Source organism: Homo sapiens, chromosome 5 (assembly GCF_000001405.40).
Source record: "Homo sapiens chromosome 5, GRCh38.p14 Primary Assembly".
NCBI classification, from domain to species: Eukaryota; Metazoa; Chordata; class Mammalia; order Primates; family Hominidae; genus Homo; species Homo sapiens.
The window spans coordinates 173,314,164-173,339,916 of record NC_000005.10 but is presented as its reverse complement, the minus strand read 5'-3'; the positions used below and the strand labels follow the sequence as shown (position 1 = coordinate 173,339,916).

The window sequence follows — 25,753 nt, the reverse complement described above, 5'->3', positions numbered from 1 at the left end:
TGCACTGCTTTTCCCTGGCTGGCTTTTTTGTGTCTTTCAAGTTCCTGGAGAAATGACCCCAGTTCAGTCATTGCCTGACCACCCTGACTAGCATAGGACCTTAGTCACGTCCCTTTTCTTGTTACTTGATTGGCTGCATGTGACCAGCTGGTTTGTCCATCTAAGTCAACCTGTGTCCCCCAAATCCCCACACAGCACCCAGCACATCAAAGGTACTCATCAGCTGTTTGTTGATAAATGACTGAGCTATGAGGCTCTGGCCTCCACTAGTCCCGCTGGAGAGCCACACTGCTGCAGGTAAAAGGAGAAAGGGTGACACTCAACAGGGCCATCACCATTAGCTTGGCCCATGTTCAGAAGTTTCTCCATCAGCGAGCCGGCTCAAGCAAGTCCTCCTAAGGAAACACAAGTCAGTGAAGAACTTGACAAATGGATCCCACGGCTGGTCAAAAGACGGTCACACTCTAAAATATGCACGACCAGATTTCGTGCACCGCTCAAGTTTTATCTTTGACCGTACTTATGGAAACATTATTCAAGAACATCGTGAACACACAAAAATAAATCTTTAAAAATACCATTTGGACGACATACACATACCAATGAAAGATTTTCTCTTTCTACTACAGCAGCCCATTAAGGCGTTTTCAAAGAGCAAATGTGGTAAGTTACTGCACACAGTAACCCGCAAATAAAAACGTACCCAGTTACGACCCACACAGCTTCCTCACAAATCAAAGCCACCCCAATCTCCAAGTCTAGATGGAGCCACCCAACCGGGGGGAACGGGGGAACAGCTCACTGACTCTGTTTCCTTGCTTCCTGCCTTCTGAGGATTTGAAGACAGTGCCCAAAGGAACAGAAAGTCACAACTCTTACTGAGACTCAGATTCCTGTCACAGAATGGCCACAGCCACTACCCCCTGCTTTGATCAGTGAGGGAATCAATGGCTATGCAGTGCCTGCCAGGCGCCAAACACTGAGCAACATTTGCGACACATGATCACATTTAACCCCATGACAACCTATAAAGTACATAGTGTTATTCCTGTGCCTATGTTGACCCGATTGAAGCTCAGAGAGGTTAAGTAATCTGGTCATGGTCACACAGCTAATCCACATCAAGGCTGAGACTCGAATCCCTCGACACCTAGCTCCAAGCCCCTACCCTTCCCACCCACACCAAAGCCATCCCCACTTGCGCACCCCATAGATCATCTCTCCTTGCCCTCGAACCTTTCCCCATGTGGCTGCCATCAGCAAACTGAAGTCAAGGGCCTAACATCTTCCTCTTTTCTGTCTTCCCTAAACACCCACCACATGCTGGGCCTCCAGTGCTCACCGTATGGGAATGGCTTGGCCAGGCTGAGCTGTGCTGATCCATGGCCACCTCCCTCTGCCCCGCCTCGCTTTTCTTCTGCCTCCCCCAAGGGAACTGTTTTCTTCTTTTTTTTTCTTCATCAATTATAAGCCTTCTTGCTTTAGTTTAGTGTGCCTAATTTATCTTGTTACCCACATCTTTTTGTTGATAACCTTGCCAAAAAACAAGAATAATTTAAATATGTTCTTTGTCTTTCTTTTAGTTTATAATCCTACCTTTGTTTCTTTTCATTTGTTCCCTCTGAGCCCTTTCTTCTAGTTATATTTTTATCTCTCCCTAGTTCTTCTGCCTTTCTCGAGGTTTTAAGATCTTAGGGAGAAAATATATACATACGCACATATATATGGCTTAGCCTATATATATATATATATATATATATATATATATATATATATATATATACACGTGCAAACTAAGCTCAGTTTGATCAGCATCAAAATGAAAGTGTTTTGCAACATGATTCGTCATCCTTATTGTTCACTGGTAAAGGTGGAGAAAATGGGTCATGACTTCTAAAACCATAATAAAATACAAAGATCTGGGGATTTGAATACCCAGGTTCAAATTTGGACTTAGAGCCTTCCAGCTGTGTGGGCCTCAGACAAGAATCTCTGTGCTCGAGGTTTTAATCTGTAAAATGGGAATAATCATTCTACTCCCTTCCAAGGTTGTAGAGAGGTCTAAAGGGGCCATGTCTACAAAAGCACTTTTAACCTATAAATAATCTCCGCATAAAGCAGTATGGAATGAGGAAGTGCTACAAGAGTAAGGAGGATCTGAATTGTCTATTGTACATCTCACCTGAATGGCCTGCTCATCCCTTGCTTTCGACACCTTCCTCTGCAAACTGGGCTCCCCCTCTCTGAGTCCCAGTTCCGCAAACGGAACTAGGGGCCTTTTGTCATCCAACACACACACACACAACCACACACACACAGGCGCACATACACACATTTAAAGCTGTGTGTCAACCATTGTAGTGGGTGCTGGGGATTGGACGTTGAACATGGCAGGCAACGTCCTCTCCATCAGGGAATTTATCATTCATTTTGGGTAGGAGAAGGAATAAGGCAAGAAACCATTAAAACAAATAAATAAACAAGGTAATAACTGGGCGAGACCTCTGATTTGCAGGAACAGCCTACATTAAGACCCTAAAGCAGGGGGAAAAGCTTGGCTAATTTGCAGTAAAGAAAAAAGGCACCAGGGCCAGGCACAGCGACTCACGCCTATAATCCCAGCACTTTGGGAGGCCAAGGCGGGCGGATCACGAGGTCAGGAGATTGAGACTATCCTAGCTAACATGGTGAAACCCCATCTCTACCAAAAATACAAAAAATTAGCCGGGTGTGGTGGCGGGCGCCTGTAGTCCCAGCTAGTCTGGAGGCTGAGGCAGGAGAATGGTGTTAACCCGGGAGGCGGAGCTTGCAGTGAGCCGAGATCACGCCACTGCACTCCAGCCTGGGCGACAGAGCGAGACTCCATCTCAAAAAAAAAAAAATTTAAAAAAATGCAACCTTAGCCGGGCGTGGTAGTGCATGCCTGTAATCCCAGCTACTCAGGAGGCTGAGGCAGGAGAATCATTTGAACCCGGGAGGCAGAGGTTGTAGTGAGCCAAGATCACACCACTGCACTCCAGCCTGGGCAACAAGAGCGAAACTCCATCTCAAAAAAAAGAAAGAAAAAAAAAAGGCACCAGAAGGGAATGAGGAAATGAGAGAGTAGGTTCCATGAGATCTGCACACCAGCAGGGCCAGATCTCCCAGGGCCTTCCATGTGGACAGGAGTGGATTTTATTCCAAGGAGGCCTCTGGAGTTAAGCAAGTGAGAGGTATGATTTGGTTTGGGGGCTTTTCGTTTGGTGGTTTGGTTTTTTTTTTTTTTAATCATTATTAATCTGGCTACATATGATGCAGAGAATTTGGATTGGAGAGAGTATTGGCAAGTGAAAGTGGACACAAGAAACCAGCTGGTTAACCCGGCAGTGGTTCAAGACAGAGTTAACTGAGGCTTGGAGGGTGGAAATGGGAAGAGGAAAACAGCAAGAATTGATGGTGAGTTTCATGCCGAGGTGTGAAGGAAAGGAGGATACCAAACATCACTCCTGGGGTCTTTGCTGGAGATGGGGGATGGCGAAGGAGGGGTGGGAAAGGTGTTATAGGACAGGAGGGAGGGAAAGGTGACAAGGGGATAATCAAAGAGAGGCTTTAAACTGCCATCGTTTTTCTCACTTACGCTTTCTGTGCGAAACTTGGTTATCATGCCAGTTTGTCCCTACACGCTCCTCAAAATCACCTCTTCCTTCCCATTTCCAATTTACCACCTGACTTCTCAATGGGTCCCTGACTCAGGGGTCTCCCCTCCAATCCATCTGCAGTTCCCACGTCCTCAGGACTTCCTGGAACAATGCACTCTCCTTTATTGTTTAAGAGGTTTGCGCTGGGCTTTCTGTTACTTGCAGATGAAGCCAGATATACCAAGTCCTGGGGTCTAACCCCAGTCAAGGTTCCAACTGTGGGTCCTCTCCTCCCCGAAACACGGTCCCTCCTAGCCATGCCAAATCACCCAGCTTCTGCAACATGCTGCTTGCTCGCTCCTCTAGGCCTCTGCGTGTGTTGGTCCATCTGCCTGGATTCTTCTTTCTCCTCTTCTCCATCCTCGAAATGCCACCCTCCAATTCTCCAGGATCCAATTTCTACTTTTTTAAGTGAGTATAAAAACTAACATTTTTCATCGTTGACACCTTTCCCATGTCCCTCACCCATTCTCCTGGTTCATCTGTATCGTAACTCCTGCCATGTGATGCTATAAAAATTACTGCTTCCTCCCTCTGGATTGCTACCACAATAAGGGCAGCAACTGTGTCTATCTTTTCCGTTTCCCAGGATGCAACACCTAATCTAGTACACAGACATGCACAAGAGTTTGTTGAATGAATGAATATATGTCAGAGTGGGTTAGATTCTAAAATCTTCAAAGTGAAAAGCTTCTGTGGTCAAAATTAATCTTAAAACGTCTGTAAAATATTCATTAAGATATAATGTCCATGAGATATTCTATCAGTCCTGTATAGTAATTCTTATCACCACCAGAATTTGAGAAGAACTGAGTTACACCAAAGAAAGGAATAAACAGAGAGGCTGTGTGACGATGTCTCACATTCAAACCATCCATCTTTAAAGTAATCATCAATCAATGGTGGGCCTGTGTAAGAAAGGGCTGGGAATGGATGGAGACCTCTACAGTGACTCCCATTTGCTAAAGGAGTTTACTTCATTTTTGTTTTAATATTTTGCCCCTAAACTCTTAGCCCCCGGTGTAGCAGGAAAATGTCATCATCATCTTTTACCATCAGGGTCCAATGGATCCTTTCTATGTTTATGAATAAATCTACAGAAGTAAGACTAAAAGGATCGTTTTTTAAAACTTTATTAGAGACGTTAGTAATAGCAAATTTTCACAGCATATTTTCCTGGTTTTGAGTGTAGATAGGCCCAAAATGAGCAATGTCCTCTGCATGCAACTAACTGCTCACCAGCTGTCATGCATAAGCCTGGGACAGACCCATCTTATAAACACCAAGTCCTGATTTCAAGGAAATCTCTGATAAGTTCTAGCTCATCATTACTTCTGGTTCTTCTTCCACTTGCATCATAAAACTTATTACCTTTGAAACCTCTGACAGTTCATAATTTTGTTCAGGAGAAGATGGTCATCTTCTTTTCTCTGTAATTGAAAAGCATTTTTATTTTTAAATTTATAAACACCAATTAGAATGTTTAGTCCAGTGATTTTTTTCTTTCCTTTCCATACCACCTATTTCTTTTCAATCATCTTTGTACTCACCTTTGATCTGACTTCATCATTTGTCCCCTTCAAACTGTATCAAGAAAATTTCAATAAACAAACATAAAAAGTAAAAAAAAAAAAAATTGGCCCCCATTCTTTTAGCAAAACAGGATGCTCCAAGTTTTTGCGGCAAAATATAGTGTGATGAAATCATTCCTGTTGAATGACTAACAGGATGAGAATATCATATTTTTTGTTATCCTTAGAAATATATTGTTTACTCATGAATCCTTAAATCTGAGGAAATTAATCTAGGTTATTATCATGTAGGACTCATAGTCTGAGACTTTGCTTATACACTTCAGTCAGTTTCGCCATTATCGAGTCTTCCATAGTGCTGTCTCTCTGCATTCATCTTCTGATTTGACTAATAACTGTACAACATTTTCCTCTGTCACTTTTCTTCTCTTTACAGTTTGTGCAGAAAAATGAAAAATATAGCTGAATTTACAACTATATTTGATAAAAGTAAGAAGAAGAAGACTACAAAAATGGTATCCTCTGTCTTCTTTTATACTTTCTCGAGAAATGATGTAATACTTCAGGCAATGTGATCAAAAACCTGAAGGATGATACAACAGTGATAATTTGTTTCATTCTTGCATCATCCTTCTAGGTGATTCCATGATTCTCCCATTTCTTATTGGTGTTTTTTTTTTTTTTACCATAATTGGCAATAATTGATGAGTAATGATGAAATAATTTCTAGGGTGATAAAATGGAAGATGTTTAAAGATATAAGAAAATTAAGATCTCTAAGATCCTATGATACATCATCAATTTATAAATTATTTCAATAGTCATATGGTAACTTCAAGATAGAATGAGTTTTATTCTATTTTTGTTAAAAACTAGATGTTATCTTTCATCTTCAGAAGACTTCTGAAAACAAACAAAAGTCATGAAATACCAATCCTTACAAATTGTTAGAATTTCTCAGGAAAAAAAAAAACACCTTCAAAATCTAAAATTGGGTCCGATGGACCCTGATAACATACTGAAAGTTAAATCACATTAATAGATTTGGTCGTTTCCTGGAGCTTTCAAAATGTGGCTCCCTAGAAAACTGCCCCACAAAAAGATTCTTCCTTCAGCCACTTGACATCCAACCATTCTCCAACCAAAGTTAAAACCCACCCAGAGAGAGCTCTATCATACTATTCCAGCACCACAATGCCTGCCTCTGGGCCCAACCAGTACTCTCCATGGAAGCCAGGCAGCCCCTTGCCTGGGATACGTTCTCCTGGAGTTTGTCTCAAGATACAACAAGGAAGAAAAAATTATGACCCATGTAAAACAGAGAGGCCTTCTGGAATACCATTCAGGCTTCAGAGAAAGGCGTTAACAAAACTCAGACTACAGTCAGATGCCCAGTGTTTACTACTTTATATTCCTTCCAGTAAATGGGTTTATTGTGTTCCTACTCTCTTGGGGGTTTTTTTAATGCTTTTTTTTCTTTTGTATTTCCAGTCAATCCATGAATGGTTTGACTATTGATCTGTGACAGAGAGGAAATGCCCAATTCACAAAAGCGTTGTGTTCCCACACTTCCAAAGTTGGTTGTTTGGGGAACTCAGAATATATTTTCTTCCAAGAAACAATATTATACATGATAGGTTTACAGGCCAGCACCACAAAATCCTTCTTAACTCATTGTGTTGTTGGGCACTGCACTTTTATGGTATAAATTAGTAGAATATAATTTGGTTATAGTATTAAGAATAAACAAACCCAAATATTGAAGATATAATCTCCTTTATCCTGAATTATATTTAATGAAATAACCAGTTTAATGAAAAAAAGATAAGAGCAAAGATAGAGGCTTTTTTTTTTTTGAGACAGGGTCTTGCTCTGTCACCCAGGCTGGAGTACAGTGGTGCAATCATAGCTCACTGCAGCCTCAACCTCCTGGACTCAAGCCATTCTCCCAGAACCTCAGTCTCCCGAGTAGCTGCGATTACAAGCACATACCACCACGTCTGGCTAATGTTTGTATTTTCTGTAGAGACGGGGTCTTGCCATGTTGCCCAGGTTGGTCTCGAATTCCCGGGCTCAAGCGATCTACCTACCTCAGCCTCCCAAAGTGCTGGGAGATGGAGGCTTTTTAGGGAGAGACCTCTGCTTGCAAGATAATTTGGGAGGCCTGATAGCAGCAGTTTGTTATTTTTTTCTGTCCGGTTTCACCTTGATACCTTTTTTCATTTTCCTTCATACAGGTATGATGCACAGGAGCCAGGATTAGGGTAAATTTGAGACTCACAAAGGAAAACAGCAACGGATAGGGGAGCAAGAGGGAAAATAAGTGTGAAAGAGATCTCTTTGATGGGGGGATTAAGGCATGTTATTGCGAGGAGATTGGCTAAATCTGCATTAATTGATTTGCTAAGAAAAGGAAAGGAAACTGGGGAGAAGGCTGGAGACCCAATATCAGAACTTTCCAGGCAGGCAGAGTCGTGAGGACTGTGTAGCCAGACAGTTCCCTCTCTGACCATAAGGTGGTGCCATCAGCCCAGACAGTCGGCCCCAAGGGGGCGGGGCGTGCAGTGGGTGGAGCTCCCCACGTGTAAGCCATGTTCTCCACTCAGGTTCCGGAACTCAGAAAGCCTGGACCAGGCAGCACGTGTCAACTTGCACATCACTGACTCAGCACCCACGAACTATGCCCATCCGCTAAAGCCCCTTCGGCTCACACTCGAGCAAGAACACGTCTGTCTTGCTGGGCATCGAGACGCACGTGAAGATTCCAACTAATTCCTTCCCACTCCTCTGCTCTTTCTCCACAATGGCAGCTCTGGGCCCCTGAGCATTTCCTAATTCCTAAAGAGAACCTAGTCTAAAGCGCCCTACAGTCTCATCCTTAAATACCGTCAGATCTTCCGTGAGGAGCACAGATTTGTCACAAGGAGCCCAGCCTTCACAACATGCCCTGGCCGACTTCCCCAGTTTGATGTCCCACTTTCACACCTAACTGGGCAACCCCTATTCCTGATACAAATCCCACCGGATCCTCTCCATGCATTTAGCCCTGCTGGTCCTCCCACCTCCCATGCCCACTTTTTTCCTTGCCTCTACTTGTCACTATCCTCCCCCATCCTTCATGGTCTAACCCAAATATCCCCTCCCCCAAAACCTGCCACTCAGTGTTGACCGCATGTAACTAGCAAAGTGGATTTAGACAGGAAAACATGGGCTCCAGGCGTCAACCACAGAAGGCCCTGGATGACACAAGGTAGGTCATGTCTGCCTCTTCCTGGCTGTGTATGCGTTAAATTGAGGAGGAGGGCCCATCCAGACAGGTGCTGCTGAACCTCAGGACAGCAGCTGGTCCATCCAGGAGACCTCCCAGGCCTCAGTTCCCATCTAGGGAGGGCCCTAGGTCTGGAGGGACACCAAAGGCATGAGTGTGGTGTGTGGTGCGGTGTCATGTTAGCTATATAATAGTAATAATGATTATTATTACTGTCCCCTGCCCCACCCTCATCAGCCACAGTCTGCCAAACTTGGCCTCAGTTATAAAGCTAAAGGAATCAGCCAGAGAGAGGGGGAGTCAATCACAACAAAGTCACCAGTCTGAGCCCCCATCCCACTTCTACCCCTGCGGCCTAGACTGGCCATTTCAGCAAACTGCCTAGTGATTCTGCAAGGGAATTTTCACAGCCTTGGCGGGTCGGACTCAGATGGGCATTCTTATCTGGATGCTTTGGACTTGGCTAAGTGGCCCAGAGATAAACCCTTAAGAACTAGTGCCTGTGCTTACGCCACCTCCAATTCTAGCTACTATGTGTTCTTTTGGTTCTAAAGGGGCAGTTGGCTCAGGTGAAAACCAGGAATGTCCCTTGGAAGGCAGGAGCAAACAGCCTCAGGACGAACTTTGAAACTATGTAGGTCCTCTGAGGGCAGCCCCAGGGGCCCCATGGTAGCAAAAGGTAGGCCTAGCCAAAGGCTGGGCAAAGCAGGAGCAGGGAGAGCTCCATCCCCCTGGCCATCGCTCCAGGTATCCTGGGAGGCCTCTGCCCAGCACACTAAGTGTCTGCATCTGGCAAAAGAGGGCTTGCTCCTGCCCCATGGAGCTCTCTCCTATTTCTGCTTCTCAAAAAAAAACAGGTGACCAGATGCCTTCTTAATGTCAATATTGCTCATGTTCTCTCCTACAAAAGAGGCCACATAGAAAGAAAGTCTACCCAGCTGTACCCATAAGCAGGAGTGGGACCAAATGGCTACTTGTTCTCAGGAAATTCAGAGCCTTAAAGAGTTAGTTAGGAGAGGCCAGAATGCCGCTGTGTCGTTTGTTTGCTTTGTTTTTAAGGATCTACAGGAGGTAGTTTTCCATAAACTAGGAAGCTAAGTTAACTATGCAAACACAAGCAGGGTGGGCAATGTGAACTGGCCGTTTTAATGTATTTGTACCCGCACGTCCTTGCACAAAAGATCCAAGGCTGCGCGGAGTAATTGCTATTAGAATAGTGGGCATGGTCCCTACCGCCGCAGGTTCGGACCTTCAAAGTGACAATTTATGGATGCTCCCTGGCGCTCCAGCGCAGGGGAAGCCCACTCTGAAGACGCCCTCCCCACCCCCTCCTCTCCTTCCTTCCGACTCAGGAGAGCTCGACACGCCGGATAGCTGCGGCCAGCCGTGGCCATCCTGGCCCCCCGCCTCCGCCTTCCCCACTCCCGCGTGCAGCCGGGACACGGGAAAGGAAAGCTTTGGAAGTCAAGCGCCGGCCAAAAGATGACCTGCCCGCGTGTCTCCTCGCCCCCTCCCCCAGCCGTGTCACATGGCGGCCCCAACCAGGCGGGCAGTGCGCCCCGCCGCGGAGACCCAGGGCCGCGTCGCCTGGGCAGTGGGTGATGAAACTTCCCAGGCGCATTACCGCAGAGGGCGCGGGCGGGGCGCGGGGCGGGGGTGGGGGATCGAGAGCTGGTACCGGGGCTCACCTGTTCTCCAGGAGGAGGGTGGGGACGGGGGGAGGGGCGAGTGCGCGCCAACGCCGGGTGCGTGCCCTGGGGCGCTTGGGCGCGGCGCTCGTGTCCCCGCCCTCCCCCAGCCCTGCGAGCCCCCCGAGCTGCGCCGTGGGGTGACGGGACCGAGAGCAGTTCCTGTCCCCGGCCCCGGCGCGGGGGAGACGTGAGCGTGCACACGTACACACACAGCAGGGGAAGAGGCGCTCCAAGCGGCGCCCAACTTTCTCCTTCCCTCCACGGGCCGGGTGAGAAAGTAGCCGGGGGCTATCCCGACCCGGCGGTTCTTGGGGAGGGGGCCGAACAAGAAAAGGGAGGAGATGGAGATAACTTCCCCGGATTTAGCTTTTTTGTCTTTGTTTTTGTTCTCACCACTTCCATCGGATGACTGGAGAGTAAAAGGGAACCCGGAGCGGGGTGGCGAGCAGCGCTTTGAGAAAATGCAGGAGTGTGTTTGGAGACGCGTAAAGTTGCCTTTCAAGCTCTGGCCTCCGGGCACGCGATGCTCCGCGGCGGGCTGACTCAGGGCTGCCTTGGGCCTCCCTGCCACCCTCCTGGAAATGATGCAAGTCCTGACTGTCACCTGGATCCCTGCAGCCCAGCCTGGAATGCGTCTGGATTAGGGGAAAGACGAGAAACGACACTCCAGGTGTTGCACGGCCCACCAAAGCGGGAAGATAGGGCAGTTGCTCAGACCAAATACTGTATCTAGTGCTTCTGCTCCTATCTTCAATCGTGGGGTTCTTTTTAATGCAAAGTGTCACAAGGCCAGGAATTCCCATGTGTGCTCAGTTGGCCCACAGCATCATTGTGCCTAGGAAACTGCTTCAATTTATCAAGTCCTCTGGGCTGGGAATCTCACTGAATTCCAAACGGCGGAAAGAGGAAACTTTCCCAACCCGATGTGGGTGTGACGCGAGCCAGGGGCCCCAGGGACACTGTCCCAGAGCACACCGTCCCCCTTTAACAGCAACTGGAGCTTGGATTCGCTCTTATATTGTACAGTCCTTTCGACCATTGCCCTGGAGCACCCGCACACGCGCACGCATCTCCGGCCGCGCTCACACACACTCATACACACGCACGCAAACGCGTGGCCGCCGCCAGGTCGGCAACTTTGTCCGGCGCTCCCAGCGGCGCTCGGCTTCCTCCTGTAGTAGTTGAGCGCAGGCCCCGCCTCCCGGCCGTGTTGTCAAAAGGGCCGGGGTCTCGGATTGGTCCAGCCGCCGGGACAACACCTGCTCGACTCCTTCATTCAAGTGACACCAGAGCTTCCAGGGATATTTGAGGCACCATCCCTGCCATTGCCGGGCACTCGCGGCGCTGCTAACGGCCTGGTCACATGCTCTCCGGAGAGCTACGGGAGGGCGCTGGGTAACCTCTATCCGAGCCGCGGCCGCGAGGAGGAGGGAAAAGGCGAGCAAAAAGGAAGAGTGGGAGGAGGAGGGGAAGCGGCGAAGGAGGAAGAGGAGGAGGAGGAAGAGGGGAGCACAAAGGATCCAGGTCTCCCGACGGGAGGTTAATACCAAGAACCATGTGTGCCGAGCGGCTGGGCCAGTTCATGACCCTGGCTTTGGTGTTGGCCACCTTTGACCCGGCGCGGGGGACCGACGCCACCAACCCACCCGAGGGTCCCCAAGACAGGAGCTCCCAGCAGAAAGGCCGCCTGTCCCTGCAGAATACAGGTAAGTGCATGTGCCCCCGCAGCCGGGAGCTACTGGGAGAGGACACCGTGCACCCACGCGGCGCGCCCCAGGCGTTTCGCCGGGAGCCAGGCGCCCACCCAGGGCCACGCAAACTCTTGGGATGGCACGGGACGTGCAAAGGGAAGCGCGAGGCAAGGCGAGGTCCGCGCCGGGCTCCGAGGGCCCGGAATCTGCACGTGCTAGCAGGGTGATGAAATGGCTGGGGCAGGACTTGTTGCTGTCCTCCCCAGGGTCGAGGGGAAATGAAGCAGCGTCTGACGCTGCCAGCGCCAGCCCCCGCCCCCGAATCCCGGGTCCGGTGCAAAGCGCGCTTCATCCCGGCCGGCACGCGGGAGGCCCAGAGGGTCCCCGGAGCTGGGCTGCGCCCTGCGCCCGGAGAACTTCTCTTCCTGGCCTGCCGGCCTCAGTAAGGGTGCCGCGTCTTCCCCCTCCTCAAAAGATGCCCGACATCCCAGAACTTTGCCGGCGAGACAAATGGCATTGCGAACTTTCCCCCTGGGGGCACTGCTTTCGGAAGGGAGCGTGAGGGCAGCGCAAAGCGTACCTCCGCGGTGCTGCCGCCATCCCCAGCTCCTGGCCAGGTCAGCAAGCCAAGAAATGGTGACACGACCCGAACCGTGCGCCTCCTCTGCTCTACCGGCTCTTGGCTCACCGGCAAGCTGCAAAGCAGAGCCAGGCGTGCAGGGCACGGGGCTGGCCCTTTTCCCAGCTCGGAAAGAGAAAGAAAATCTGCCTACAGCTCCTTCGCTCCACGACCCCTCCCCCGACTTTGGGGGGCCGTGTGAACGCGGCAGCGGCGGCGTGCGTGCGCTCACCGCACGAGCTGGAATGCACGAGTGCCCATTAGGGACGCCCCAAGTGAGTGAATGGCGGCCCTGTGCGGTCCTGCCCCGGCGGCGCGTGGGGTCTTACGGATCCTGTCGCCTCCACATGCTGGGGCCGGCACCCCCACCACCCCGAGACCCTCGCCCACCCTCCCCCTCCTCTGGCGCTTCCTCTGAGAACTGAACCTGATTCTCGGTGGTCGGTGACCCTCAACAATACACGCCCCTCATTCTCTGGCTAGATTTAATCTGATGCGGGTTATCTGCTCCGACCCCGCCCTTCTTCCAAAATATACTTTTCTGATGTAATTTTGTGGTTGATTTAAATCAGAGACTTGGGTAGTGGAAAGGGAGGGAAGAGGCTTTGCACGCTGCAGCCTGACAGTTAACTCCCTCCGTCTGCCCCTTCCGAGAGAGGACTGGGGGCCACATTCGGTGAAGGGCTGCAAGCTTCCTCCCGGGCTGCGGGAATTCTAGGGGATTGGGTGATACCTCACCCGGATCCCTAATTAAAAGGAGCCTGCAACCTCTGATAGTGGCGTTTCTGAAGGCTCGCCCCCAGCTGACTCCACTCCTAAGCCTGCTCGCCAACCGCAGCTTCCCTAGCTGGTATTTTAATGCGAAGGGTTGGGAGGCACTGCCTTAATAGGAATTTTGTTTTGATTTTTAGGTGTTGAATCATAAAGCTGAATTGAAACTGCTTTTTAGATGCTGTCATTTGGGGGTCAGGAAGCAAATGGCTGTGATTTAATAGCAGCAACTTCTACAGATCAAGTAGAGAAGGGTACTTCATTGATGAAGTACAGTCTTCGACTCAAAATTTTATTTTTGTCTGTGGGTTTAAAAAGCGGAAATATATTTTGCTCTCAAACTAAGTATTCCCACAAATACTTTAATAAAATGGAAAGGATGAAAAGGAGGAATGCTCAGACCAGCCTTCTGGTTGTAATTTTTGTAATTTTTCGGCTCTTTTCTACAAATATTTACAAATAGAGATATTTTTCATGAGTAGATTAAAGGACGAAATTTTGTTTCCCAGGCTTTTTAGGTCCTGAAATAGTCATTACTAAGTCTTTTTTCCTCCTTAAATTTTCCTTTAGTTGTTAACTTTTATTTCAAATGACCTCTCTGCATTGCCCAGCATGGGTTAGAGTTTTGTATATATTTGTATGTGATTTTCCTTTTAGCGGAGATCCAGCACTGTTTGGTCAACGCTGGCGATGTGGGGTGTGGCGTGTTTGAATGTTTCGAGAACAACTCTTGTGAGATTCGGGGCTTACATGGGATTTGCATGACTTTTCTGCACAACGCTGGAAAATTTGATGCCCAGGTAAAAATCCATCCAGAGCATGAAGAATGTTTGGGGTGAGCATACATGATTGAAACGTTCATTGGAAAGCCTTGTTAACCAACTTCCTTTGCTGTTCCTTGTGGTGTGTTTTAGTGCTTGCAAGCGACAGTCTAGGTATAAAACATTATGCCAGTGTCTCCCTTCTGCACTCATAAGCTGTGTCTACACAGGCAGGGTGGACTGGAGACCAATGTCATAATAAACGATAAACACCTTGTAAGGGGACACGCTGTGTCTGGCCACCCAGAACTCAGTCTCCAAAGCCCACTGCATGAGAGGCAGGGGCAGGAACCCCCAATTATACATTTCAGAAGTCATTTCACCTACTAGGAAAATGAGACACAAAGTATGTAGAAATCCGTCATGTGGTGTGTGGGCAGCCAACCCGAATAACTCAGGACCTCCAAAAGAGCAGACTTCTATTCCTCCTGAGTAGCAGATCTTTCTCTCCCAAGCTGACCGGTCGAAACCCTGATTGAGTCCTTCAGTTCCACACTTTCCTTTTGCTCTATATGATAAATATAGTCAGGGCCTGACCCACTTCGGTTATCCCAGGGTCCCAAGGGGAACGCGGAGTTGCTGCTCAGGGCAAGGCAGGAACACAACAAGCAACATATGGCTCCAGTGCCAACAACGCAAATACATTTTTAGATGGCATGTGGCATCAGACTCACCTTCTTCGTGTTCTCCCTGGCCACTTATATGCCCTGTTGAAACGCCCTGTTACTATATCTCAGAAACGTCTCTCCTGCTTCATTGGAGAGCAATGCCAACATTTGGAGGTGGCCATCAGCTTAGGTGAGATTTATGGATGTCACCAGTCCCCATCCACTGACATATAGTAGTGAGCCTGACAAAGCAGTGCCTGGGAACAAGGAGGGGAGGCGAAGACGGGGCTGGCAGCCTAAACTGCAGAGGATGTGCGGTGTGGCCAGAGGGGAAACTGAAACCAGGGAAGGAAAGAGGTAGAACTTTGAACTCCTTGAGGCTCCCTAATAAAGCATCACTCTGGATTAACGGGAATTAGGAAACGTAATAGGAAATCCGGAGGAAAGACGTGTATTTAAGGGCAATCCCACAGGATGTCAGGGAAGAATACCAAGAACAGATTGCCACAGCCCTCGCATAAATTCATCTTCCTCTTTTTTTTCCCAACCAACAGGAATACGTTCTCAAGTTAGAGACATCCCTTTCAAGTTGATGCTCAGCACATAACTGCTTAATAAACGGGCACACCCTGCCCTCCATTCTGTTTGGCTCTGGCTGGAGAGTCAAAAGAGAGGGGGCCACGGGGAGGCCATGCGGGCCACATGGTTTTTCAGAGATCAGACGCTATCTGTAGACATTTCTATGGCTGCTAAAGACAAAACCAAAATAAATGTGCTGGCTGGCTTCCCACTTCCAACCTAAACCCATTTACTTTCTCAACTCAGTGACTTCCGGGCCTGTCTAAAAACAGAGGGGTGACCTCTCCGACGACAGCTAGTTTCTATAGTAATGTGGGGTGCGGGGATTCCCGGGTAGGCATCCCACAATGCCTCCGGGCTGCGCGAGGTTGATAAGGGAGCAGCACCGAGCTCGCCTCCACACCCCCAACAGCTGTCTCCTTTCTAGGATAAGCACAATCAGACGGGGTTGCCAGGAAAGAGAACTGCAGGCCAGATGTATGCCTGGCTGCCTTCGCCACTCGGAGGCAGGGAGCGTGGGGGAGGGGCCGCCAGTGCGGCAGTTCAGACTCCAGATGCTGCCAGGCAGGGTGCCAGGCCAGCCTTTTAGAGGCAATAATCCGAACAGTTTAAAGGAGTAGAGTCATTTTCAAAAAGGAAAAGAGCGCTCTTCCTGGTAGGGTAGGAGGAGACAAGGGTATGGATTTGGGGCGTGGGAGGCACGGAGGCAGAAAGGGAGGTACAATCAGCAATCAATCTCGGTGTCGCCCCTGGAATCAAGGGAAAAAGGAAACGTGTGAGATTTGGACATGCAGGCACCTTCCACTTAGGGAAGACTGCTTGTGAGAACCGTGAGGGATTTATGGATTTGTGTCTGGCCAAATTCCCTTTGTGTTCCAGAAAAGTTGCCACCACACAACCAACACAGGGCTACCTGAGGGACACATAGCCACGGAAGCCCCCGTTGGAGGGAAACTCACAGAGTAGCCAGGGAGGAAGGAGGGAGATGTGTTCGTCTACAGAATGAACATCCCTTGTTGCCCAGTGCTGGGGGTGTCATGTCACTCTGGACGTGCCTCCGGATGTCGCATTGCCTGTCACCTGGGAGGACGTCCGTCTCTGGTGGGGCCTTGGGGTTCTGATGTCAGAAATATCCTGTGTAAGCCCAAGAAGGGCTGAAATGTCCAAGCATGTAACGAGGTCTTCTGCTTTCTGCCCCTCTCTCCCTTCCCCGGCCTGTGTGTTCTCAGGGCAAGTCATTCATCAAAGACGCCTTGAAATGTAAGGCCCACGCTCTGCGGCACAGGTTCGGCTGCATAAGCCGGAAGTGCCCGGCCATCAGGGAAATGGTGTCCCAGTTGCAGCGGGAATGCTACCTCAAGCACGACCTGTGCGCGGCTGCCCAGGAGAACACCCGGGTGATAGTGGAGATGATCCATTTCAAGGACTTGCTGCTGCACGAGTGAGTACTGCCCCGCAGAGGGCCTGGGTGAAGGGGCCACCCAGCAAGGATGGCAATGTGTATGGGAGGAGAGCCGCGTTGCTTCTAGAGGCTGAATGCCTGTCAAATGGAGAAGGCTTCCATTTACTTCAGAAAGCTACACTGACTCTACTAAAAGGCCCCTTTCCTGCTGGCTTTTAGGAAAAGAGAGAATTCCCTCATCAGTCTCAAAATCACAAGCAACAGAAATGGGAAATCGTTTTACTAAGAATGAAATGTGTCGATTCAGTAATACTCTTCATCTTCCCCTTAGCCAAGAACCCACTAGCTCTCAGAATATTCTGAGTAGCTGTAGAGGTGTCCTTACAGACAGCAAATTGCTAATAACATTTGTTGAATATTTACTAAGCGCCAGGCACTGGGCTAAGGGCTCCTTGTGAATTTTTCACTTGATCCTCACCACAGCCCTCGTCACCTCCATTTGACAGATGAGAAAACTGAGACTCACTAAGGCAGAGCTCACACAGCTAGTGACAGGCAAAGCCAGACTTGGGACCTGGCTCCAGTCTGCTGAGCAGTCTGCCTCCAGAACCTATACTCTTAAATCCCGAAAACAGAGCTATAGATGCTTTTCCTGCCTCCTTAACTTTCCTTTCCCTTAGAAGGTTCGGTTTACCTTCTCTCATACATTAGTGCCCTCTCAGAGGAAATGCAAAACAAGTGCCAAAAACTTTAATCAGCTAAACACTTCTATGCCAAAACAAGGAAATGTGAACTTACTTATTTCAAGACTTGAAATTCAATGATAAATTCAGGATGCATCATTTCTTACAAAATATTTCAGCCACAGGATCCTAAATTTTGCAGCATGGTAAAGCATGTTGGTACACAATTGTTCCTAACATGAGGCAGGGCCAGGAGCCCCTGAAGATTTTTTTTTTAAATATTGACAATGGCTCTTTCCTAAGAGACACAGGGCAGAAAGAAAGCCACTAGCCAACCAGTTCAGTACAAGTCATTACCAGTTTGATGGCACTGTTGGTCTCTCCACGGTGACTCATTGAGCCAAATCGGTATAATTTTATGAACTCTTGATCCTCAGTTTGTGCCACAACCTTCTTCCAGTTATGTCCCTACCACACCAACACCACTTAGATGACAGAGAACAGCAAGCACCTCCTGTCTCTTTCCACTTGGTTATAAGGTCATAGGCATCTTGCAACACCCTTGCTACAGTGTTAGAATCATACAATTCATGGCGAAACTCTGCAGGAAGCTCTTGCCAAAAGCAAAACAATATTGCATTTTCCTCGAATTAGGCTAACGCCTTACAAAATATTTTTTATTCTTCAAATATTTTTAAGGGAACAATAGCAGCCACAGCATCATCAACAACAATGATAGCTGTCTTTTTTTATGTTTTTTTAATTTTTTTTCTAATGGTCTAGGCCCTTGGCCAGGGCCTTTACATGGGTTATCTCATTTATCTTTCCCAAAGATGCTACAAGATAGAAATTACTATGCCCAAGAGGAGGAAAGTGAAGCTAAGAGATTAGAGAACTCGGACTGAGGTTTGATTCCTGCTTTTAAGCTTCGGAATTGCTGGTATACATGACTGAAGCCAGTCATCAGGAATAGACTTCAAACCTGCTCCCAGCCTATTATCTCCCTCCTAGACCTGAAAGGGCTCACAGCTCCCCACATGTGGTGGGCTTCTTGTCCTTTTATCAAATATATCCCCATTACACAAGGAGAACACTCTAAAATTCCCTTCCTTCAGGTGCCTCTGGAAGAGAAAAATGCCCCATGGCTAGGAAACACCGTGAGCTTCACTCGCCTCTAGCCCTGTCCCCCATTAGAGAGAGTTTGCTGGCCTCAGGAATCGGTGGGGAATGGGGCCCATTCCTAGTTTATAAGGCTATAATGCATGCCTGGAGCACAGGAATTCTATCTTTCTTGGAGAAAAGTATTCTTTGGGAAAACTGAAGGTTGGAAGTCCCACCCCCTCCCCTTAATTTAAGAAGAAGGTAAAGCTCTCTGGCGTTCTAGTGTCTCCTTCTTGGGAATGTGGCCCTCGGGGCCATGGTCTCCTCACACCATTCAGAATGAGCCTATGACCCCCCACCCCAGCCTGCTCTGGAAATGCAGGCAGCCCATATAAGAAGCCTGGTCACATGCTGTTCCTCTTGCTTCCCCCTAAGTCAGCATCTCTAGGCAGGGGTCTCCCCTAACTCCAGCTTCCCAAAAACCCCCATTACCTTTCCTTCTGAAGCCATGATGTGGCGGTGCATCGACTTGTACTTCTAGCTGAACTGCCTGTTTTTTAGGTTTTTTTTTCCCAACCATCTTAACTGATTAAAGTATCCTATCAGTCCCCAAATATCAAGAAGCCCATTTCCAAATGTGTGGCATTGGTCAAAAAAAAAAAAAAAGAGAGAACTGAATTTGCTTTTCACTTTAGAGATGAGGAAATCACAGTCACCCCAGAATCTGCACCACCCCCATTCTTCAACCCAACCCCCATCCACACCAGAACACTCACCCCCAGTTAATGCTGCTCTTTTCAAGCTCTTCCTCTCCGCTCCCCTCACCCCTTCCTGCCCGCCCCACTTTCTGCACAGCATCTGTCTCCCCCTAGCTGCCGCCTGCCTGGTTTTACCCCCACTCGCCATGTCACTGGGTGCTGGCAGGCTCCAGGCACATCCCCCTCCAAGTATTTTTTAAAATCCTTTAGGCTTGCTGACACCCAGTTGAACGAGCTGGACTTTGTCATTAGACACGGGCTGAGCTTGCAGCCTCAGAAGGCACCAGGCCAGCTCGGAACACGGCTTGGATTAACTTGGTTCGGCACACACACCCCTCCCCGCAGTTCACAGCTTCCTCCTGGAGAGAGAGAGGGCCAAGGGCAGAGGACAGCATGGGCTCATCCAGCCTTCTGGGATCCAGATCCGCCCTGGGCTTCTGGGGGCTCATCTGGCAGACAGAACGCCCTGGCCGGGAAGGCGAAAGACAGTCTGCATATTCCCAAGACAGCCCTCCCCTTACTCTGGGGAAAGGAGCTTGAAGACAGCATCCAGTTAGTATCTCAGAAAGACAGACCCTCACCCCTGCAGTGTGCTCACCTAGCCCTGGTGCCGCGGCAGGCACAGTCAGGTGCTAAAATCCTGTTGCTGCTTTAGCAGACACACTCGGTGAACTTGAGCTCCGGAGGCAGTTTCTAGTTTTCAAAAAATAGAAGGAAACAAGCACGCGTGGAGCATTTCCCTCATATTGCCTCCTGCATGCCCACCTGCCCACCTCAGGGCAGTCCAAGGGACAGGGTTAGGTTGTCTTGCGCTGTCAGGGGCCTGCCTTAGGGGGTTTAAAGCCCTTTGCCCAGCGGCCATGCACAGACTTGCTGACTCCAAAGTCATCAAGCAGGCCCTAAACAGCAGCTGGATCTCTCTCAGCCAGAGCATTCCTCCTCTCTGCTCTGCTCTCAGCCAAGCCCTGGGCCCTGAAGCCCAGAAGCTTCCAAGAGCCACCTTCTCCCTGCTTTTCTCAGTTTTTGCATCCATGAGGTGAGGACAGTTCACTCAATTCCAACTTGAGGAATAATTAATAAAAAGGCAGTAAACTACTTCACACATCTCAAAACACAGTCTGCTCTTTCCACATAGCAACAACTGCCAACTTGCAAAGAAAAGGCTCCATGGGCTGTAACGCAGCCTCTCTGGTGGCCCAGACTTAGGGAGGACAAATCAGATTGCTCCTTGTTATGAATGACCTCACATTCCATGGTGACTTCCCTGCTCAAGGTGATGGCCCAAAGCTGCAATGCTTGTGGTCAGATAGATCAGAAACTTTGCCAGCGAGGACTGCCTAGGAATGCTGGTTAGCCATGTGAAACATTCTATACCCCCCTTGGGGGGTTTTAAAGGCCAGTGAGAGGTTAAAATAAAAGCTCAGTGAGTGGCCCATGAGAGCCCATTGCTGGGGACACTCTTTACCAGATGGGCCCATAAATATAAAAAGCAGATGCTCCTGCCTTCTGCACACCTTGTCCACCCCCTGGAGTAAATTATTCCAGTGGTTTTCCTACAGAACAACCCAAGACAACCGGAATGGCCTGAGGAACTGGCTCTGCCCTCCAGAACTAGGCGAGTTCATTGCACAGTGAGCTGTCTCTCAGTCCAGACACAGGGGCCCCTGACCGCCAGCCTTCAACTCCAAATCTAAGGAAGCCCAGACTGAAAGAATAAAGATGCTCAGATGGCCACACCTACTCCCCAGCCTCTGCTACTGAGAAAGGGAATCACTGCATGCACGGGCAATGACGTCCCAGGGACATGGTCTTCCTCCCTCCCACTTCAGCTCTTCCATACTCCTCCAGATGCAGAGGAAATGCATCCAATAACTTCCAAAAACACCCTTCTTCATCAGAAGCCTAAACCCGGGGCAAACACAAACATGGGGAAAATGGTTTCTTGGGGGCTTCTCATAGAGGGCACGTGGTCCTAAACCTTCATGGTTTCCTCTTCCCTACCAAAAAGAATCCTCTGTTTGGAAGTCTATGTAAGGCCCTGCACCATTTGCCTAATTATGATTCCACTGGACCCCAGAGCCATCTCCACTCTAGCTGAAACTCACCTAGTTAGTGTAGCCTAAAGGCACCCAGAGCTCTCCTGCCATTATTCACGCAGCCACCTGGATTTCTCACCATCCCCAGAGGGTCTTCCTTTTAGGGTCCTAAGCTCTTACCCTATGCACCTGTGAGCCTGGGACACAGTGGCCACCCAATAAGTGTTGGTTGAGGCCAGTACTCCATAGACTATGAGAAAAGGCTTGAAGTCATTTGAGAGAGATCTTCCACCGAACCCAAGACAAGCACTGGCCATGCCTCCTTCCCAGCATTGCCCCTGCCCTCTGTGGTCCATTCGGGACTTGCTCCATTCCCAGCCTCTCTCTCTCTCTCTCTCTCTCTCTCTCTCTCTTTGCTTTCAATCTTTAGACCCTACGTGGACCTCGTGAACTTGCTGCTGACCTGTGGGGAGGAGGTGAAGGAGGCCATCACCCACAGCGTGCAGGTTCAGTGTGAGCAGAACTGGGGAAGCCTGTGCTCCATCTTGAGCTTCTGCACCTCGGCCATCCAGAAGCCTCCCACGGCGCCCCCCGAGCGCCAGCCCCAGGTGGACAGAACCAAGCTCTCCAGGGCCCACCACGGGGAAGCAGGACATCACCTCCCAGAGCCCAGCAGTAGGGAGACTGGCCGAGGTGCCAAGGGTGAGCGAGGTAGCAAGAGCCACCCAAACGCCCATGCCCGAGGCAGAGTCGGGGGCCTTGGGGCTCAGGGACCTTCCGGAAGCAGCGAGTGGGAAGACGAACAGTCTGAGTATTCTGATATCCGGAGGTGAAATGAAAGGCCTGGCCACGAAATCTTTCCTCCACGCCGTCCATTTTCTTATCTATGGACATTCCAAAACATTTACCATTAGAGAGGGGGGATGTCACACGCAGGATTCTGTGGGGACTGTGGACTTCATCGAGGTGTGTGTTCGCGGAACGGACAGGTGAGATGGAGACCCCTGGGGCCGTGGGGTCTCAGGGGTGCCTGGTGAATTCTGCACTTACACGTACTCAAGGGAGCGCGCCCGCGTTATCCTCGTACCTTTGTCTTCTTTCCATCTGTGGAGTCAGTGGGTGTCGGCCGCTCTGTTGTGGGGGAGGTGAACCAGGGAGGGGCAGGGCAAGGCAGGGCCCCCAGAGCTGGGCCACACAGTGGGTGCTGGGCCTCGCCCCGAAGCTTCTGGTGCAGCAGCCTCTGGTGCTGTCTCCGCGGAAGTCAGGGCGGCTGGATTCCAGGACAGGAGTGAATGTAAAAATAAATATCGCTTAGAATGCAGGAGAAGGGTGGAGAGGAGGCAGGGGCCGAGGGGGTGCTTGGTGCCAAACTGAAATTCAGTTTCTTGTGTGGGGCCTTGCGGTTCAGAGCTCTTGGCGAGGGTGGAGGGAGGAGTGTCATTTCTATGTGTAATTTCTGAGCCATTGTACTGTCTGGGCTGGGGGGGACACTGTCCAAGGGAGTGGCCCCTATGAGTTTATATTTTAACCACTGCTTCAAATCTCGATTTCACTTTTTTTATTTATCCAGTTATATCTACATATCTGTCATCTAAATAAATGGCTTTCAAACAAAGCAACTGGGTCATTAAAACCAGCTCAAAGGGGGTTTAAAAAAAAAAAACCAGCCCATCCTTTGAGGCTGATTTTTCTTTTTTTTAAGTTCTATTTTAAAAGCTATCAAACAGCGACATAGCCATACATCTGACTGCCTGACATGGACTCCTGCCCACTTGGGGGAAACCTTATACCCAGAGGAAAATACACACCTGGGGAGTACATTTGACAAATTTCCCTTAGGATTTCGTTATCTCACCTTGACCCTCAGCCAAGATTGGTAAAGCTGCGTCCTGGCGATTCCAGGAGACCCAGCTGGAAACCTGGCTTCTCCATGTGAGGGGATGGGAAAGGAAAGAAGAGAATGAAGACTACTTAGTAATTCCCATCAGGAAATGCTGACCTTTTACATAAAATCAAGGAGACTGCTGAAAATCTCTAAGGGACAGGATTTTCCAGATCCTAATTGGAAATTTAGCAATAAGGAGAGGAGTCCAAGGGGACAAATAAAGGCAGAGAGAAGAGACAGAACTAAAAATACGAGGAAAGGAGAGTGAGGATTTTCATTAAAAGTCTCAGCAGTGGGTTTCTTGGGTTATTTAAAACATCACCTAAATAGGCCTTTTCTTCCTAATTGGCCATCAAATTAAAGCCTATCCTTTCTCAAGCAGGAGCTGGTATTGTAGGGAGTGGCCGGGTATTCTGGGCTGGGCTCTTCTGGAGTAGGGGGTCAGCAAACATTGTCTGCAAAGGGCCAGATACTGAATCCAGTACTTTCAGTTTGGCGAGCCGTGAGGTCTCTGTCGAAACTACTCAACTCTGCCGTCCTAGCACAAAAGCAGCCATAGACAACACACAAACGAGAGGGCTTGGCTCCCTTCCAGGAAGATTTATTTAACAGGCTCCCAGCTGAATTTCACTCACAGGACACAGTTTACTGATCTCTGTTCTAGTGAGTGGGTCAAAAAGCATATGCATCCTTATCCGTCAACTCATCAGCTCTTCCTCAAGGCAACCTGAGGCCAGACACCAAGAAACCAAGCGTATCTGCTCTAAAATGACTTGTTCCTGGGGAATGCCTTCAACCAAAACACAGCTAGTATTTCTATGCCCCAAATCCAATCCCAGTCTTTCATGATCCATGCCGGCGGTTGGGTGGGGAGGGGAATCATTGGTTGGGGGAAGGGAGGAAACCCCACCTCCAGCCCCCGCCACCGGGCTCCCTGGGCACCCAGCAAGATCTGGGGCTGCAGAGAACAGAAGAGCTGGTGCACTTAATCCAGCTCTGCCCTTGGGGGGAGGAGGACCTGTGTGTCAGGCTCTGCCATGGGAACGAGTGTAAACCGTGGCTGTCTCCTGCAGTGAGCCACCGCGGCAGGCACGTTGACTGTTTTACTGACATCACTCAAAAGCTAAAGCAATAACATTCTCCTGCGTTGCTGAGTCAGCTGTTCATTTGTCCGCCAGCTCCTGGACTGGATGTGTGAAAGGCATCACATTTCCATTTTCCTCCGTGTAAATGTTTTATGTGTTCGCCTACTGATCCCATTCGTTGCTTCTATTGTAAATATTTGTCATTTGTATTTATTATCTCTGTGTTTTCCCCCTAAGGCATAAAATGGTTTACTGTGTTCATTTGAACCCATTTACTGATCTCTGTTGTATATTTTTCATGCCACTGCTTTGTTTTCTCCTCAGAAGTCGGGTAGATAGCATTTCTATCCCATCCCTCACGTTATTGGAAGCATGCAACAGTATTTATTGCTCAGGGTCTTCTGCTTAAAACTGAGGAAGGTCCACATTCCTGCAAGCATTGATTGAGACATTTGCACAATCTAAAATGTAAGCAAAGTAGTCATTAAAAATACACCCTCTACTTGGGCTTTATACTGCATACAAATTTACTCATGAGCCTTCCTTTGAGGAAGGATGTGGATCTCCAAATAAAGATTTAGTGTTTATTTTGAGCTCTGCATCTTAACAAGATGATCTGAACACCTCTCCTTTGTATCAATAAATAGCCCTGTTATTCTGAAGTGAGAGGACCAAGTATAGTAAAATGCTGACATCTAAAACTAAATAAATAGAAAACACCAGGCCAGAACTATAGTCATACTCACACAAAGGGAGAAATTTAAACTCGAACCAAGCAAAAGGCTTCACGGAAATAGCATGGAAAAACAATGCTTCCAGTGGCCACTTCCTAAGGAGGAACAACCCCGTCTGATCTCAGAATTGGCACCACGTGAGCTTGCTAAGTGATAATATCTGTTTCTACTACGGATTTAGGCAACAGGACCTGTACATTGTCACATTGCATTATTTTTCTTCAAGCGTTAATAAAAGTTTTAAATAAATGGCTTCCACTTGAGTAGCGTCATTGTCTGAGAGGGTCATTGATGTCCGGTGCACAGGGGGACAGCTGTGAGCAAGTGGGCTTTTACGTCAAGAGAATCCTATGCTTCTGTGGATGTTCAGCCTACAGGGAAGGAAGTTAGATGAAGAGGACTACCCTAGGCTTCTCCGTCAGAGGGACCCTGTCCAAGCCCCTGCCTGAGTCACCCAGACAAGGAGGAGAATAAATTTCATGCAGTTGGCCTGGAAGTGCCACCCCCACACCCCATTAGGCAGGTCCTTAAGGCTCACTCTGGTCTCACCTTTGAGTCTCCCCTGTGAGTCTCCCCTGTGGCTTGGCCACCCCTTCTCTCAGACTGAGCCTGCAGCAGACACCACCAGCTTAACAGCTGAGTGGCCTGGCATATAGAGGGAAGCCCACTGCCTCCTCCCCAGCTCTTGCTCACGACAGCAGAACAGAGCTGGAGCCCCTGGTTTACGTGATCTGTGCCACTGTTGGTGTACCTACTATGTTCCAGGCACCACAGTAGGCATTTTGCATGCATTATTTCATCCTCATTACATC

At 49.0% G+C, this 25,753-nt stretch overlaps 1 protein-coding gene and 1 long non-coding RNA gene across 2 annotated transcripts, besides 4 other annotated features; one reads left to right on the top strand and one right to left on the bottom strand.

The window, feature by feature from the left end:
* Positions 1 to 4,794: 4,794 nt before the first annotated feature.
* On the bottom strand, positions 4,795 to 11,318 carry LOC124901137 (uncharacterized). Its single transcript, XR_007059056.1, has 2 exons — positions 10,166 to 11,318; positions 4,795 to 5,107 (listed from the first exon to the last, which is right to left on the bottom strand). It is a non-coding gene; the product is annotated as an uncharacterized LOC124901137 (long non-coding RNA).
* Positions 7,834 to 7,973: an enhancer, noted in NCBI's record as "active region_23654". NCBI's record gives its function as "activates an Ori minimal core promoter by ATAC-STARR-seq in GM12878 lymphoblastoid cells {active_cell/tissue: GM12878}" and the evidence as "EXISTENCE:reporter gene assay evidence [ECO:0000049][PMID:35858748]".
* Positions 10,090 to 10,309: a silencer, noted in NCBI's record as "silent region_16638". NCBI's record gives its function as "represses an Ori minimal core promoter by ATAC-STARR-seq in GM12878 lymphoblastoid cells {active_cell/tissue: GM12878}" and the evidence as "EXISTENCE:reporter gene assay evidence [ECO:0000049][PMID:35858748]".
* A 184-nt stretch (positions 11,319 to 11,502) lies between the features above and the next one.
* On the top strand, positions 11,503 to 25,194 carry STC2 (stanniocalcin 2). The gene is made up of 4 exons (NM_003714.3): positions 11,503 to 11,874; positions 13,907 to 14,049; positions 16,487 to 16,698; positions 21,668 to 25,194. Exons 1-4 carry the CDS (start codon positions 11,724 to 11,726, stop codon positions 22,068 to 22,070), a joined length of 909 nt encoding a protein of 302 aa, NP_003705.1. The 5' UTR covers positions 11,503 to 11,723; the 3' UTR covers positions 22,071 to 25,194.
* Positions 15,674 to 16,174: an enhancer, noted in NCBI's record as "H3K4me1 hESC enhancer chr5:172750746-172751246 (GRCh37/hg19 assembly coordinates)". NCBI's record gives its function as "activates a minimal SCP1, AML or CMV promoter by ChIP-STARR-seq in naive H9 embryonic stem cells {active_cell/tissue: H9 hESC(naive)}" and the evidence as "EXISTENCE:reporter gene assay evidence [ECO:0000049][PMID:30033119]".
* Positions 21,861 to 23,060: an enhancer, noted in NCBI's record as "MED14-independent group 3 enhancer chr5:172743860-172745059 (GRCh37/hg19 assembly coordinates)". NCBI's record gives its function as "activates an origin of replication core promoter dependent on BRD2, BRD4, P300/CBP and CDK7 cofactors, and independent of MED14, by STARR-seq in HCT116 cells {active_cell/tissue: HCT116}" and the evidence as "EXISTENCE:reporter gene assay evidence [ECO:0000049][PMID:35650434]".
* Positions 25,195 to 25,753: the final 559 nt, after the last annotated feature.

Bases quoted from the DNA above. Each gene is read 5' to 3' on its own strand.
- STC2 (NM_003714.3), top strand. From the start codon at position 11,724: ATGTGTGCCGAGCGGCTGGGCCAGTTCATGACCCTGGCTTTGGTGTTG. The intron at 11,875-13,906 runs GTAAGTGCATGT...TTTTCCTTTTAG, and splicing joins CCTGTCCCTGCAGAATACAG to CGGAGATCCAGCACTGTTTG. The intron at 14,050-16,486 runs GTAAAAATCCAT...GTGTGTTCTCAG, and splicing joins CTGGAAAATTTGATGCCCAG to GGCAAGTCATTCATCAAAGA.